Source organism: Homo sapiens, chromosome 12 (genome assembly GCF_000001405.40).
Source record: "Homo sapiens chromosome 12, GRCh38.p14 Primary Assembly".
Classification (NCBI taxonomy): domain Eukaryota; kingdom Metazoa; phylum Chordata; class Mammalia; order Primates; family Hominidae; genus Homo; species Homo sapiens.
Genome location: NC_000012.12, coordinates 131,371,136 through 131,388,761, shown reverse-complemented (window position 1 = coordinate 131,388,761; position 17,626 = coordinate 131,371,136). Strand labels below are relative to the sequence as shown.

The 17,626-nt window shown below is 55.3% G+C and overlaps 1 annotated feature.

Moving 5' to 3' along the window:
- Positions 7,635–8,216: an enhancer, noted in NCBI's record as "H3K4me1 hESC enhancer chr12:131865091-131865672 (GRCh37/hg19 assembly coordinates)". NCBI's record gives its function as "activates a minimal SCP1, AML or CMV promoter by ChIP-STARR-seq in primed H9 embryonic stem cells {active_cell/tissue: H9 hESC(primed)}" and the evidence as "EXISTENCE:reporter gene assay evidence [ECO:0000049][PMID:30033119]".

Below are 17,626 nucleotides of genomic sequence, written 5' to 3'. Positions count from 1 at the left end.
TGCAAAAGACAAACAACATTTGGCAGAGCCTCCTTTCACCTCTAATTGTTCCCATCTGAGCTGCCCAAATCGTTGCCTGGCACCTGATTTGAGTGGGCCCACGGGGTTTGCTCAGCCCTGAGGCTGCAGCAGGGAGGCAGGGGAGGCAGCAGCTGGAGCTGCTGGCACTCCCTGGGCACTTGCTCTGGCCAGAGGGGACTTCAGAGGCAGGAACAGCCTGGTGGTGAGGTGTCAGCTGGAGAAGAGATTCAGGGAAAGTTTGCCCTGGGCAGGGGGAGCGGAGGAGTGGGTAGTGTGGTCTGCAGGGCTGGGCTGACCTGTGGCAGGGGAAGGAAGGGGTTTCTCCCTGTCCCCTGGAGGGTGGTGAGCTCCCTGTCACTGGGAAGTTTCAACCAGAGGCGAGATGACTGATCCACGGCCAGGAAGCTCTGCCCTCCAGGAGAGGGTGGTCCCAACTGGAAATCCCCAAAGCTGCCTGATAGAAAACAGCATCCAGGTCCAGGACGCTGCAATGCTTCGCCTCCCAGGTCCCCCTGGTGAGTCTGAGTCTGCTGGGCCCGAGGACCCCCTTTTCTCTGCTGTCCCTCTCAGGCCTGAGGGCCCTGATTCTGGGCGTCTGTGAGCCCTAGGCCTGAGGCTGGCCCTGGATCCTCTCAGTGCAGGAAGGGGCTCTGGGAGGGCAGGGGTCTCGGAGCCTCAATTCTCCACCAGGGCCCCAGAACCCAGAACTGCTCCAGGCATGTGACGAGCTCTCACCTGGCCTTTGTGGAAACACTGAATATGAGGGAGAGGACACTGCCCCCCTTCTCCTCTCCCAATCCCAGGCTAGGAGACAAGGAGCCCCATCCTGGGGCCTGGGCCACGCAGCCTGAGAAAACGAGCACTGCACCGTGGCGGCACCGGGGAGGACACAGCGCTAAGACTCCCGTGGTCCCCCAGCCCACGGCGTCACGGGTCACGAGGGGTCTTCCCGCTAAGGACTAAGCTGGCCTATTCCCTCCCCTGCCTGAGCAGCTGGCGGAGAACGTGTTTCAAAGCCTAACTCAGTTTAGGAGCGGCCTCAGGTGTGTGCTAATGGGCGGACGTCAGGCCCACACTGCTGCTTCCCACTCAGGAGCCCCATGTCAACCGCTCTGCAGGTGCGCCTTCACTGGGCCAATAAGCATTCACATCCACCCAAACACGCGGGTCCTCCCGGCCTCTTAGAGCAGTGGGAGTGGGGGAGGGGAGCCAGCAGGAGCAGCTTCACACAGGACTTCCGCTGCGGGGGAGCCTCACAGGAGGGGGTCCCTCAGAGGCCACATCCCAGGGGGTAACAGGAAGACACGGGCGGGCGCTGCAGCCGGTGGGGTGTGGGCGACACCCCAAGGCCTCCAGAAACGCATGAGTTGGCGGGAGGTGGTGTCTGGGCTCTGTGGGCCTGGCCAGGCTTTCCCCTGCTGGGGGTCAGTTTCATCAGGGTGGGGAGCGGGCTCTGTCTGACATGAGGCTCAGGACTCTTCAGGCGCCTGATCCTGGAAACCCTCCAGGGGCACGTGAGCTTGATGCCCAGGAATGAGCTCTCCCGGGGGTGAAAGCCATTTCCCACCCACCCCCACCTCCCGCCCAGTGCTGCCCTTTAGGAGCCTCTGCCTAAGGTTGGGGGCTTGGGGGCTGCACTTCCAATTTGCAGACAAGAGCCCCCTCCAGGGCGGCTGCTCTGACCCCACGGGAACCCAGGATTCAGCTCAGAACACGTCTTCCTGGTACTTCAGTGAAACTCCCCCGTGCTCCAAGGGTGCAAACCCGCAGTCACCCCCACTCAAGCTCTGACCTCATAGGGTCTCCATGGACTCCTTCGGCTGGGGGAGGGGCAGCGTTCTGCGCGGTCAGGTGTGCTCATTTATGTCAGAGCTTTGCGGAATCATTTGAAAGTTGCTTAAGAATGTTATTTGCCTTGAGTTTACTGAACTTTCAACAGAATATTAAACCCATGTGTTTTACATAAAAATTTAAACTAAAAAAGGATTCTGGAACTGTAGAAATTAAGCATATTTCCTAACAAGTGAGGCAAGTTCATTTAAATAAGCTTGGAAACCAAGCTGGAGACATTTCCGCCTAAGGACAACAAATTCAGAGACCTATGGGTTATTTATTCCTTTAATTTCCCCTCAAATGCAGTCATAAATCCATATTATATGATTTTAATGAATATTTATTTCTCAAATGAAATATGTGGCTGTTAGGACTTTCCAATGAAAGGCAGGGGAGGAGGGAGGCTCAGCCTTTTGCAGGCTTTACCGGCCCCGACGACCTCAGATGCTCCCAGAGCCCCCAGTGCAGGAGGTCCTGACCTATCAGGGTCTGCAGGAGGGTCTGGAGAAAGGAGCAGCCACCCCTCACCCCACAAGGAGCAGAAGCAGGTGAGGGTGTTAAAGGTGCTCCCACCACCTGCCAGGGTGCGCCGCACTTCACAGTTTGCAGAGTGCCTGCCCTCCCCTCCCTCTCCATGCACACTCACACCTGTGGGTGTCGCAGGGGCCACACCATACCTGGACCCGTGAGTTCTGGCGTTCTCTTGAGTTCCAGGCACCCAGGCCCAGCTGCCGGCCTCTGCAGGTCTCTTGGGCTGGGCCAGGTGCTGCCCCCAGAGCAAGAGCTGCAGCCTGCCCACTCCCGCTCTCCAGAAGCTTCTACCTGCGCCACCCCCGGGCTCTCCAGGCAGCCCCAGCTGAGGTCTGTGCCTCTTCTTGCCCACGCAGGTGACTTTGCCAGCAAGATGCAGAGGCTCCTGGGAGGGCTGGGGTCTCTCTCAACCCAGGGTCCTCAAGCTCCCTCGGGGAGGGGGCGGGGGTTGGGAGGTGTGGACCGTGTGAAGCAGTGGCGGAGGCCCCCGCGGGCCTGCGGGAAGACAGGAGTCCCTATCCCCACCTGCCCCCATTGCGCCTGTGGGGCTGCGTCTGTGCTCCCACTTTGCTGCCTGGCTCGATGTGGATACGGTGCTTGTGGAGGACATCTGGCTGCTCCTGGGGACACCATCACCTGAGGTGGGCCCAGCCGCTGGGCTCAGTAGGGGCGTGGAGGGAGCAGTACCCACTCAGCAGCTGCTGCCAGGTGAGGTCAGCCAACAACAGACACCAGGGCACAGGGACGGCTGCTCTCCATGGCAGGTTGGGGCTCCGAGGCTGCGGGCTGTGGAGTGTGGTGTAAGAGATGCCCTGTACGGACTTAGCTCAGGACCTGCTTGTAAGTAAAGCTCAGACACCGTCAGTGCCCCTAGCAGGTGTGTGCAGGTCAAGGATAACCACGCTCTGGGTTAAAGGGACGTGGAGCTGGCGAGGGGGCTGACGCCTATAATCCCAGCACTGTGGGAGGCTGAGGCAAGTGGATCACTTGAGCCCAGTTTAAGACCAGCCTGGACAACATGACAAAACCCATCTCTACAAAAAATACAAAAATTAACCAGGAATGGTGGCGCATGCCTGTGGTCCCAGCTATTCGGGAGGCTGAGAGATAGGAGGATCACCTGGGCCGGTGGCCAAGATCATGCCACTGCACTCCAGACTGGGTGGACAGAGCGATACCCTGTCTCTAAAGAATAAAAATAAATAAATAATAAATAAAGGGCTCTGGAGAGGCCCCCCAGGAAGGGAGCGCACCCACTTGTCAAATGCAATTTCATGGAGCAGTTTGCTCAGAGGCCCATGGAGCCAGGTAGGGGAATGGGGAGGGAGTCGGTGGCAGGCTGCATGCAGGATGAGGGAGGGGTGCAGAGTTCACCCCATCTCCTCCCCACATCTCTCATCTCTGCCCTGCTCTGTCCTAATCTCTACAGCCGACCTCCACACCCAGCATCCCTGGGCTCCCACAGCCTCTGGCTTCTGTTGGGCTTGGACGAGGAGGGAAGAGGGAGAGTGGGGGCTTTGCTTCCAGGCTTCTCGCTGCTCAGGGCTGTGGCTCCATGGGTGGGGGGAGGACTGGCAGGGAAGGGGCTGCTTTAGACAGAGGATGGGGGCCTCCCCAGGAGGGGATGTTTGTCTGGGTACCCAGTGACGGGCAACAGGCATCCACGCAGAGATCCAGAAATGCCGCAGGCAGGGTTGAGCCTGGGTTTCTGGGGGCAATGGGTCGGGGGCAGGAGCATGGTGGGAGCAGGGAGGGGGGCCGCAGGATCGGCAGAAACAACGTGTGCAGTGGCCCTGTGGCCCCTTGGCCCTGGATAACTGAAATGTAATCTCACTCTCATACATCACAAAGGTTATTGTCGGGCCCTAATCACGAGAATACCCTGGGCAACCTCTGTTCAATTCCTGTTCCCGAGCCCCAGCCCGGCTGTCTGAGCAGCAGAGTGGAAGTGAGTCCCGGAGTCCTGTCATCCCTTAATTATTAGCAGCCCAGAGAGGAGGACCCCGCGTTCACCGCAGGGCCCCTCCCTGTATGCCAGTCCCTTCCAGGCGCAGAGGATGTCCAGGAGTCCCTGCTGAGCCGGTGAGCCCAGTCAGCCTCCCACAGAGAAAAGGAGGGTGGGGGTCTTTCCCTGCAGCATCCACAGTGGTATAGGAGAGGGCGGCAGGGCTGGCAGAAAAGCCGAATTCTCTCTGGAGAAGTGGCCACCCTGGGACACACGGACCAAGCCCTGGGATCTAGGGTTCCAGGTGGCTCCAGGCACTAGGGTGGCTTGGGGCGGCCCAGGGAGGTGAGCAGGGTGGTCCCAGTGCAGGCGGGGTCTTCTGGCTGGGCAGGCAGCCTCAGGGGACAGGAAGGGCCACTGCGTGCTGTGGTCAGGGCCACGGGCTGGACCCCAGCACTGCTCTTTTCTGGAGAGGGGTTCTTGGATTTGAGGGGTTCTGAGGCCAGACACTTGGGGGGTTGGACCTCCACTTGGGGGTGAAAGGCTGAGGTTCAGAGCTCCCTCCCACTCCTGGGATGGGAAAATGACAGGACCAGAGCCTGCCCCACCCCTGGGTGCAGTTGGGTCCCCGAACCTTCCCGAGTCCTGTCTGGTCAGCGGCCGCCAAGCCAATGACTAGGACTGAAGCTTTCACTTCCTGTATATTGGAAGCCAGGTGTGGCCCATCCTGATCGGATATCTAGGCTGGAAGCTTCTAGTAGTGAGACAAGTTAGGGGATTTCCAGGCCAATCAAGGAAAAGACAGGACCCAGGGTGGTGGGTGGTGGCCCCCACAAAGAGCTTTACTGGCAGTGAGGAGAGGCTGCCTGTGGGTGAGGCCCTCCCGACCCTAGATGGGGCAGGCTCACCCCCAGGAGGGAGCAGGAATCAGAGGGCACCGTGCTCCGGGGAGGTGGCTCAGGAGTGCCAGGAGGGAACAGGAATCAGAGAGGGCACAGCGCCCCGGGGAGGTGGCTCAGCAGCCCCAGGAGGGAGCAGGAATCAGAGAGGGCACAGCGCCCCGGGGAGGTGGCTTAGCACCAGGAGGGAGCAGGAATCAGAGAGGGCATCGTGCTCCGGGGAGGTGGCTCAGCACCAGGAGGGAGCAGGAATCAGAGAGGGCACAGCGCCCCGGGGAGGTGGCTCAGCAGCCCCAGGAGGGAGCAGGAATCAGAGAGGGCACAGCGCCCCGGGGAGGTGGCTCAGCCCCCAGGAGGGAGCAGGAATCAGAGAGGGCACAGCGCCCCGGGGAGGTGGCTCAGCAGCCGCAGGAGGGAGCAGGAATCAGAGAGGGCACAGCGCCCCGGGGAGGTGGCTCAGCCCTCAGGAGGGAGCAGGAATCAGAGAGGGCACAGCGCCCCGGGGAGGTGGCTCAGCCCCAGGAGGGAGCAGGAATCAGAGAGGGCACAGCGCCCCGGGGAGGTGGCTCAGCCCCAGGAGGGAGCAGGAATCAGAGAGGGCATCGTGCTCTGGGGAGGTGGCTCAGCAGCACCAGGAGGGAGGGGGAATCAGAGAGGGCACAGCGCCCCGGGGAGGTGGCTCAGCACCAGGAGGGAGCGGGAATCAGAGAGGGCACAGCGCCCCGGGGAGGTGGCTCAGCAGCCCCAGGAGGGAGCAGGAATCAGAGGGCACAGCGCCCCGGGGAGGTGGCTCAGCCCCCAGGAGGGAGCAGGAATCAGAGAGGGCACAGCGCCCCGGGGAGGTGGCTCAGCAGCCCCAGGAGGGAGCAGGAATCAGAGAGGGCACAGCGCCCCGGGGAGGTGGCTCAGCCCCCAGGAGGGAGCAGGAATCAGAGAGGGCACAGCGCCCCGGGGAGGTGGCTCAGCCCCAGGAGGGAGCAGGAATCAGAGAGGGCACAGCGCCCCGGGGAGGTGGCTCAGCCCCAGGAGGGAGCAGGAATCAGAGAGGGCATCGTGCTCCGGGGAGGTGGCTCAGCAGCACCAGGAGGGAGGGGGAATCAGAGAGGGCACAGCGCCCCGGGGAGGTGGCTCAGCACCAGGAGGGAGCAGGAATCAGAGAGGGCACAGCGCCCCGGGGAGGTGGCTCAGCAGCACCAGGAGGGAGCGGGAATCAGAGAGGGCACAGCGCCCCGGGGAGGTGGCTCAGCAGCACCAGGAGGGAGTGGGAATCAGAGAGGGCACAGTGCCCCGGGGAGGTGGCTCGTCAGTACTGGGGTTTGCAGGGCTTGAGTTCCTTTATGGATCCAGGCTCTGCCTCCTCGGTGCTGGCAGAGGCTGGGGCAGTTTCCCTGGAGACGCCAAGCTCACAACCTGGAGATGGGAGAACCCCTGCCTGTTTGGGTTGTGCCTCAAGTAACCGAGGTGCAAGGTGTGGGCCTGCGCCAAGGGCCCTCCTGCCAGGAGGTGGGCACGGAGGCCGACGCCGGGCCAGCACCAGCCCACTCTCAGGACAGGCTGGCTGGGGGGGCCAGGCAGAACCCCCCAGCCTGGACCCAAGCAAATCGCCCTCAAACCTGCCATCCAGTGAGCCCTCCTTCAGGGGTCAGCCACACAGGCTGGCAGGGTCCTGCTTGAGGGTGGACACTGATTTTCCCTGGTCGCCGGCGACCACCCAATGACCTTTGCTCTACAGCCTTCCCTGGGCTGGGAACCTCTGGGCTGCTTGATCAAGGGAGCAGGGAGACCCCGAGCTCTTCCCCTGGGTCTTTCATGTCTGCGGGTGAAGCCCTCCAGGCCATTTATCTTTCAGGAGGGTGGATGGTGGAGTATAGGGAGGGGTCATAGCGGGGTCCAGCTTCAGTCAGGAAGAACACGAGATTCTGTCCGCTCCCTCCCCCTGAGCCCTGAAAACAACTCGGTTGCGCCTGCGGGGTTGAGGCCTCCGTTCAACTCTGTCCTGTGAGTCCCGCTCCTCCAGCCTCAGGGGTCTAGGCAGCCGGTGGGGAGGCTGCTTCCCAGCTGAGGCCAGGAGATTTGGGTCTCTTCTCTGTCACTCTTATGTGACTCCACCTTAGCCACCATGCTGGGACACTGGCCCCCCCGAAACAGGCAGACGGGGAACGGGACCCTCTCCCCACGGGGAGTCTCGCTCCCCATGGGTCTCGCTGCCCATTGGCCTAACTGCTAACAGCAGTGGTGACTCCGGAGAGCCCCAAGAACAGTTCTCTGCCCCTGAGCCAGGCCAGGTCTTCTCCCTTGCCCTGGAGCGCACAGACCTATTCAGGGGCCCGAGGCTCCCCTTTCGTAGCCTGCCCAGTCCCGCGGTGGAGGCTGCTGGGTGTGGACCAGGCTTTGGGAGCAGGGCCTGAGACGAGCACCGTCAGGCTCCAAGTCCCCTCATTTATTCCCCACGTGCTCAGTGACCCCTGCGGGGAGTGGCAGGGAGCCTGTGTCCTCCCCTGGGGCTCACCATGGCATGTGCCAGCGCTCAGGCCATGTCCCTCAGAAACGGAGGGAGAGGGAGAAGTGCAGGGGGAGAGGGAGGGTGAAGAGGGGAGGGAGAGTGAGACACAGAAATGAAGGGAGAGGGAGAAATGGAGATGGGGGAGAGAAAATAGAGGGAGGGAGAGGGAGAGGAGAGGAGCTCTTAGAACTGGCGGTAGCTCTGTCTCACGTTCGGAGGTCAGAGCAGCTCGCTGGGCCCTGGAGGCCCCGATTTGGACACACGGTCTGTCCGCGGTGAGCAGCTCATAAATGGCGCGTGGTCCATCATGGTCCCTCTCATAAATGAGAGCTTCCTTCTCAGCTCAGGGAGTGACCTACATTTTACCTTTTTATTGAAGTTCAATTTACCAGTTGTGAATGTGTGTCCGGGTAGATTTTCACAGTGAACACAGCTGGGCAGCCTGCACCCCACACAGGAAACAACTCCACGGGCACCATAGAAGGGCCTCCCGCCTCTCCCGCCCACCACTGCCCTTCCCTCAAGCCCAGCGGCAGCCGCAGTGAGCCCCGAAACTGAGGATGGCACGGGCTGGCAGGGGTGGTGAGGTCCAGGGCTAGGGACAGCTGGCTGGGGAGGCTGAGGCAGCTGCTGTGACGGGGGCGAGTTGGCAGCGGGCTCTCTTGCACCCAGGATGGGCCGGTGCTGATCACAGATACGCGAGGACTCTGCCTCCGTTTGCCCTGGCGTTGCTCCTGCTTTTGGCTTTGTTTACATTGCTTTGCGTTTCTCCCCTTTATTCACGGGGAATCAGTCCACTGGAAAAGCCAATTAAAAACAAAAAGATTAGAGGCATTTACTGTTACCCTATGAAAATTTCAAATAGCACTGGGAATACACCGCTAAAAATTGACTCCCATTAAAATTAAACAAATAGTTTACATTCAGCATTCATTTCCTCGGTCAGGTTTTGTGCTGTTTCCATGGGAACACGCAGCATTTGTGTGAATGCGGTGCCCTCCCTGGCTGAGGTCCTTTCATGCCTGGCTTTGGGTTCTTCCAACGACGCCCGAGCCCTTCTCCGGCAAAGTGAGTCTCTAGTGAGTGGACGAGTCGTCTGGTGCAGCATCTTTCAAGACCAGCTTCCTGGTGGGTCCACAGGAGTTTTGCCTCAGGAAGCTCCGCACTCAGCCTTTGGGGGAAATAGAACAGGACAAAATAGAACAGAGCAGAACAGTGTTTCCCGAGATGCAGTCTGGTGCGAGGCTTTATATATCTGCAGTGAATTGGAGCAGACTTTCCAATGAGCAGCCTCCAGGAGAATTCAGGGCTCTGTGTCCGTTCTCACTCAATCAGCAAGAAACACCCTGAGTTCTAATGAACAGAGCTCAGATCAGACGGGACACTGGAGAGAAAAATCCAAGAAATAAACCCCATCTGCGGCCATGTCGCACGCCTCACGGTTGCCTCTGAAATGGAATTTGTGCTCTGTTGTCTCAAAAAGCAAAGACTAGAATCAGGAATGGGGCAGTCGCGGCAGACCCTGAGAGACCAGGCGGCTGATGGGGGCATCCTGGTGGGGCAGCCCTGAGCCGCCCACAGCAGGGGAGGCCCCCCGGGGAGGCAGCTGGTCACCACCCTGGTGTCTGTGGTCACGACGGTCTCAGACGTGGGGCCCCCGGGGGAACTCTGGGGCTCGGTAGGTAGCAGAGTTAAGCACGTCATGGTGGCCTGAGCCGGAGTGCTATGTGAAGGCTCCATGTCCACGCTAGGCTGAGGCCGCCTGTCAGGCTATGTGTGTGGGTGGGGACGCTCTGCGACCCTGTCTGCAGCTGGGATCTGGAGTCTCCAATGGACAGTTGCATAGATGCCTGGCGTGCCTTGTGGAATCGCAGTGCCAAATGCACCTTCTCACTGCATCAGGCTCCCAGAATAAAGGGCTCCCACTGCCCAGTCTCGGGGGTAGCCACTGAAAGGGTGTCTTGAAGACGTGGGACTACAGACACCCGGGGTGGGCCGGCTGCCGAGTGCCTGCAGTGAGACCCTGCCCATCACGGACAGTTGACTAGGCCTTTACCAGCACCTGACAGGAGCCGGCCCAACCCCAGCCCTTTCCTGGGCATTTGGCCTTGGAGCCAGAAGATTCCAGGACACTCCAAGATGCTCAGACCGAACATCTCCTCTGAGGTAGAGGAGACGTCACCTTAAGGGCTGTGGGGTTCATCTGCCTCGAAGATTAGGTTGCAGAGAAATCTGGTCCTCAGGCGAAGAGCAAAGCAACCACAAGGATCGCGGCAGGGGCGGGCTGGCCCTTCTCTTATGGAAACCCTCCCTTTCCCTGACTTGTCTCCTCCATCTCTCGGGACACCCCTGGGGCCCTGCGCCGGCCCCTCCTCTCCTCCTGTAAGCAACATCTAAGCTGAAGCTCCTGAGGCCCCAGACCCCGCCCCTCCTCTATATGTGCTCCTGCTCGGGAATAGAATCCAGCTGTTGGCAAGGGCTTCCTGGGAAGGGATGGGCGGTAGGGATTGGAGCCTTTGTGGCCTCGCTATCTCTGTTGCAGTCACTCAACTTCACCGTGGTAGAGTGAGGACAGCCACGGGCGACACGCACACGGGCAGGTGTGGCATGGCTCCGGGGAGCCTTCATTACGGCAGCCAGCAGAGCCAGCCGGCAGGACAGCTTGCGGAGCCGATCCCTTCCCACCTCCACCGCGATCACCACGGAGATCACAAGCTTCTACGTCTCCACCCTGGAGCCTGTGGTCATGTCTCTGGTGGACACCTGAATGACCCTGGGACGTCTGACATTCATCATGATGGCATGACTGAGCGCTTGCTGTGTACTTAGTCCCTGCTGGGGTTGTCTCGTTTAATTCTCTGATACAGAGTCTGCAGCTTTGTCCACCACCCTGAACTGCCTCTCAAATTTACCCACAACGAACCCTACCTATATCCCCTCTACCACGCTCCTGCAGGCTCAGTGACGCTGAGTTTCTCGTGTCGGTAATGCAAGAGTTAGCGCTGGTTCTCCCCCTCTCACTCCCACACTGACACATGTCATCAGATCTCCTTCCAAATATTTTCCACATCTGCCCCCCGTTCCCATCTCTCCTGCTGTGGCAGTGAAACAGCAAAAGAATGGACATCACTCACTCCATCTTTGTTTAAGGGGCCCTTACCCCTTCCCGCACATAGGCCGGGATAATTTTACAGCACTGAGATGAAATGCAAAGATGGCAATCACTTAGTTTTAAAAACTAAGTCTGAGATTAAAGGAGAAGCATGTAAATCACTGACTGTGTTTTGTGAAAGATTTACAGGAGATTGTGACCTGACCAAGGACAAAAGAAGTGGCCAAACTATATTTTCGCTCAACAATTCTACCTCTATGTATTTACTAGAAAACTCCTCACCAGTAATAAAACTGTACTTAACACTTACCAAGAACTTATTGTGAGGTGAGCACTGCTCCAACATGCCTGAGTATGTTACCTTACTCTTCACACAAGCTCTCTTATGTAAGCACTCATGTAAGGACTGACAGTACAAATTTTCCACACTTAGCAGGTGAAAGTGAAGAGGAGTTGAGTAATGGGTCCATGGTTGCTATGGTTTGGATGTAGCTCTCTGGTCCCCACCAAAACTCAGGTTGACATGGGATCCCCAGTGTGGTGTTGAGAGGTGGGAGGTGTGTGGATCATGGGGATGGATCCCTCACAAATAGCTTGGTGCTGTTCTCTTGGTAGTGAGTGAGTGCTCGCTCTCCCAGGAATGGACTTGTTTCTGAGAGAGAGGATGCTTTAAAAGCCTGGATTCCTTCATCTCCCACTCTGGCTTCATCGGTCTCCCTCTCTTTCTTCCTTGGTCTCCCTCTCTGGCTTCCCCCCCAACACTGTGTGATCTGTTTGCACACACCTGATGCCCTTTCTCTTTTCTGCCATGAGTTGAAGTATTCTAGGACCCTCACCAAATGCAGCTGCCCAAACTTGGACTTTTCAGCCATCAGAATCGTGAGCCAAATAAACCTCTTTTCTTTATAAACTACGCAGCCTCAGGTATTCTCTCAGAGCAACACACAATGGACTAAGACAGTGCTCACATGGGTAGTAAGTCCTTGAGCCTGGATTTGTGCCTCTAACCCATGCATCCAACTCCCGAGTCTCCTCTCTCAACCATGGCAGGACAGAGCCACTTGTATAACTACACAAATGTGTATTTTTAGGATTATTCATGGCAAAATTATAGGAGCACAAAGTGAAACAAATTTGTAAGAGCGAAAATTCTACCAATAGAGAACGTAGTAAACAAATCACAGCATAATTATACCATGAAATATTGAGTAGCAGTTACTGAAGAAGTGACCATCCTGTGTGCCCTGGAAGACTATATGTGCACATGTATGTATGTGTGTGTACACCTATCACACACACACATTCACATGACTGTGTCTGATGGCTCTGAAAAACTAGCGCTGACCTGTTACGGGGCTCATCCCTGAGGCCTGGATGAAACGAGGCCTTTCATCTCTTTCAGTATTCCTCAATCTTCTGCAACTTTTACACAACTTGTTTCTTTGAAGAGGAGAAAAAAACCCCTAAAAATAGAATAGAAAGAAAAGTGAGACAGATGATCAATGCGGTCTGGCCGAGCTCATGCCCATAGGACTTTCATTGGGATGCTGATTTCAAGATGGAGAAAACAGCTGACAATGGCACTCAGCAGTGGCTGTGGATTGAGCTTCCCCAGGAAGGTCACCAATTTCAGTCAGGTGTGTCTCCGCTTCCTGCTGCCACTCGTCATTCTTAGTGACCGGGTGCCTGCCCACTCCCTGAGGGGGTTGGCAGGATGCAAAACACTTAGCAGGTCCCTCAAGGGCAGGCCGGTGGCACACAACAAAGGCTGGCCCCCTGACTTGGGCACTGCGAGTGCACGGCCTGGCTCTCCTCCCCCAGCTGTGATGCCATCACAGCCCCCGAAGCTGTTGGGGAGGGAGTCCCTGTGCGTGCCCATGCCCTAGAATGAGGGGGTTCCACACCATCTAAGGTGGGGGTCTCCTAAAGCAGCTTCCCAAGTTCTCTGCATGGTAAGAACCGGGGATGCAGACGTGTGCTTGAAATACAGGTTCCTGGGCCCCCAGAGCTCCCGAACTCGCATCTCCGTGGACGGGGCTCTAGGTCTGGGTGTGTAAGGATCATCCCAGTGCATCAGGCAGGTTGGGGAGTGCTGCTGTCAAGTGATTGCTCTCAAAGGCAGTGCCCCCCAGGGCTCCTTGAAACACAGACCCCAGATCCTGGGCCTCTATCTAGAGTATGACTCTGCAGAGATGGTGCCAGGGATCTGCATTTCAACAGTGTCAAGGTGACCCTGCATGAGGCAGAGGCCTGCAGATGTGCTTTGGGAAACGCCACTCCAGAGCAAAAGAATACTCCACTGTGTGGGGCAAGGGGTCGCCTGCTGTCAAGGCCTTGTTCCAGCTGGAAGACCTCAGAGAGGAAGACGACAGCAGCACAGGACGGGCCTGTGACCTGACCGCTGCCCAGAGACATTCTCATGCCAACTGTGGGCTGAGAAATGTGGTCTCACTGTGCCCAGAAGGAAGATGGGCCAAGCCTGCTGAACGGCTGGCAATCTCAGCCACATCTTCCCACCCCCATCTCTAGCCAGCAGCTTGTGTTCCTGGAGGCACAACCCTTAGCAGCTGTTTAGTGTCCTTTAAGAGATATCTTAAGATTAGGCGCATATATTTCCTACACACGCCACACATACGCACACACACATGCGCACACGCACCTATACACACATGCACACGCATCCACACGCACACAGAGGCAGCTCCTTTCTGGAAGGCACTGGGCCTGTGTTTCCCCATCTTCCCTCCATCCCTCTCTTTCCTGTTCTTTCCTTCCTCCCTGTCTCTTCTCTCCCTCTCTCCCTCCCTCCCTCCCTTCCTTCTATTTCTCTTTCTCCCTCTTTCTTTCTGTCTCATTCTCCTTTTTTCTTCACTTAACAATATATGGGTCCACAATTGTACATAGGGAATATGGACCAACCTCATTCTTCTTAACATTGCCACAGTATTCTGTGATATGGATGCACCATAGTTTATTTACCAAGTTCCTTATACACAGCATTTAGATTATTCCTCATCTTGTCAAACAAAGATACTATTAAGATCCAATTAAAATAGTTTGTCTTTGTGAATCTGAGTGAGTGTAACGCTAGGATAAATTTCTAGAAGTAGAATTGTTGGCTAACAGAGTAGTGCACTCGCTATTTTAATAGACATTGCCAAATTGCCTTTGAAAGAGGTTGTTTATAAGCAGTATTTAATGGGCTACCACCACCACAACAGATACATATACCCTCCCAAACCATCCTTAGCTTGAAAGGATCTTGTCCAGATGACATTCTCCTCAAATGTCTCTATGCGTTCAAGGCAAGCCTATTCAAAATCCTGGAAGATTGTTTTTGCAAAAATAAATGTGTTGATTCTAACGTGTGTGTAAACACGTAAGAAAAGAGGACATCCAAGATGAGCAGAACAGCAGCCACCGAGGTGCAGGACTGTGCCCTCAGACGTTACACTGGTGATGAAGCAACAATGTCAGAAAGACAACCGAAGTACTGGTCACCCAGAGGGCCTAGGAATCATCACACGTGTGCACCAAGACTTCATCTATGACAAAGGTGACCCTGCAGGGTGGCAGGAGTCTTTCCCATAATGCCACGCCAATTGGATATCCATACGCAAATAAATGGATCTTCCAATGTTCCTTATCCTCCCCCAAATCACTTCCAGCTAGACCATAGTCCAACTGTGAAACAACTTTTAGAAGATAACAGGGGAATAACTCTTGGCCTCGTGGCAGAGATGGACGTTTAATAGGAAACAAATTTAAGGGTTAAAATGTCTTGATTGCACTTAATTAAAATTAGGAATTAAAATAAAAAACATGTTTTATATTATCACAGTTGGGATTAAGTTAAAAAAATGTTTTACACTTTGGGAGGCTGAGGTGGGAGGATCGCTTGAGCCCAGGAGTTGGAGACCACCCGGGGCAACATAGACACACCCTGTCTCTACGAAAACGAAAATTTAAAAGTTAGCCAGATGTGGTGATGTGTGCCTGTAGTCTCAACTACTCCGGAGGCTGAGGTGGGAGGATGGCTTGAGCTCAGGAGATCAAGGCTGCAGTGAGCTATGATCTTGCCGCTGCACCCCAGTCTGAGTGACAGTGAAACCCTGTCTCAAAAAAAATTTGAAAGTAGAGATATAAACCACCTAGGAGGAGAAACTATTTAGGCACACGTAACTGGCAAAGGACTCATATCCAGAATATATTTGTAAAGTCTGTAAGTCAGTAAGAAATAGACAACCCAATTGAATAGTAAACAGGTACTGTATAAAAGTTGTCAGTAGTATTATAACTTTGTTTTGGGTTTCCACATTTTATTTTCTACATAGTTAAAGAGACAGATACATTTAAAAATTATTTGTTTCTGTTTTTGGACACATGACATATAAAGATATAATTCTGTGACATCAACAACTGAAGGAAGTGGGAATGGAGATGTGAAGGAGTGGAAGTTTTTGTGTTATTGACATTTAACCAGGATAAATTCATGTCAGAGTGTAGCAACTTTATTATATCAGCCACAAAGAGAATAGCTGCAGAGTAAACACAAAAGGAAATGAGAGAGGAATTTAAACATTTCACTACAGAAAATCGACTAAACACAAAAGAAGACAATGCAGTAAAGGAGGGACCAGAAAAATGATAAAGGACGTAGAAAACACATTCCAGAAGGACAGAGGTGAGCCCACCCCACCCCCATTATCAGTCACTTAAGAAGGGAGGAATTTCTAACACATGCCACAGTGTGATGCACCTGGGGGAGGTGATGCAGGTGCAGTGGGATCCCACTCACAGGATGGAGGGAGGGATTGATGGGTGGATGGAGGGAGGGATTGATGGGTGGATGGAGGGATGGAAGGATGGAAGGATGGATAAAGGGATGGATGGATGGATTGATGGAGGGATGGATGAACGGATGGAGGGATGGATGGAAGGATGGACAAAGGGATGGATGGATGGAGGGAGGGATGGGTGGATGGAGGGATGGATGGAAGGATGGATGGAGGGATGGATGGATTGATGGAGGGATGGACAGATGGATGGAGGGATGGACAGATGGATGGATGGATTGATGGAGGGATGGATTGATGGAGGGATGGATTGATGGAGGGATTGATGGATGGATGGATCGATGGAGGGATGGATTGATGGAGGGATGGATTGATGGAGGGATGGATGGAGGGAGGAATGGATTGATGGATGGAGGGATGGATGGATGGAGGGCTGGATGGTGGTGATGGTTGCACAGTAAAAGCAATGTACTTAGTATCATCAAACTGTACACTTAAAAATGGTTAAGATAGTCAATTTTATGTTATGTGTATTTTACCACGATAAAAAAAATTGGCCCCCAAGCCCCACAATATATTAAAAACAGCAAACATTTAAACTTACCTTCCAGGAACCTCAAAGATGCACAGACATGCGGGCCACTTGCTTTTGCCCTTGGACCCACTCGCTGACCTTGCTTTGCTCTTTGCTTCCCAAGGGTGCTGTACTCCCTGGCCTCCTTGTCCCCCATTTCTGGGCAGTTCTTAAGCAGGCAGTTACCGAGGCAACAGGCAAGATTACCTGCAGGCGGCTAAGAGCAAGCCAAATGGGGCCAACAGGTTAGCACAGGGGCCCCGGTCAGTAACGGACGCTCCAGAAAGTGGCTGGGACAGACATCTGTGGTCACCCGCAGTGGGCAACTTCCTTGCTGAAGGAGGAGTGACTGTTGGAGGAAAAGTCCCAAAGGCCGAGCCAAGAACCATGTCCTTATGTTGAACTTTGCTCACTGTAATAGTGAAAAACACATGCCTGGGCAGAGATTTAAAATGCTAATGAGACAGGCAATGTATGTGCCAGCATGTACAGTGACGGCCTCTGTAGGCCCAGGAACCCACCCACAACATGCTTAGTTCCTGCTCCTTCAGGAATAATCATGTGAGACTCCCATCAAAGGAACTTCCCAGTGCCAGTCTCACTGTCTTATTCCAGAGCAGCCCGCTCTGACCCAGCTAGTGGTGCACACTTTCGCTTTGCAATAAACTTCTTTGCCCACTCTTACTTTGGACTTGCTCCCAAATTATTTCGTGCACAGATGTCAAGAACCTGAACAGGCCCACCCACAGCATCCCTGGCCAATGGGAGGCCTCAGCAGGACATGGCAGGCGGGAGATGTGGGGAGGCCACAGCCTGGTGCTTTTCTGTCTCGCTCCCTCCGGTGTGTCTGGCTTGTCTGGGAGCGTCTGCTGTTACTGAAGTCCCAGCTTTGCCTCCGTCTTTCTCCCTCTAACCCAAGACAAAGAGCAGTGTGCTGGATTCCTGCTGTTGCTAAATTCTGGACTGCTCCACGCCCCTGGGTTTGGCTTCTGTGTTCTTCCACCCATTCTCTGCATTACATTTCCTCCCTGTGAAATGTCTTGAGTCAATTCTGTCTCTCGACTAGACCACGCCTGCAACACTAACTGTTCCGTTCGGACAGAAGGTTCCTGAGAACACACTGGCGCTGCTGCGCTCCACAGGACTGCTGCTCACAGGTAAGATGCAGAGGAGAACGGTCGCCACAGCCGTCTCAACGTCCAACAGAATTTTCACTGTGCAGGCGGTGATTTATTTTCTTTCTCCACCAACTTGGTTGGCCTTCATGCCACGGGGATGAGCAGCCTAGGACCCTGGTGAGGCCACGGCTCCAGTAGACCCTGACAGTGAAGCTGTGGTCCCTGGTTAGCGGTCACTGCCTGACACTTAGGGCCTCCCTTCATTCCTCCAGGGAGCCGAGGTGCATGTTCGTG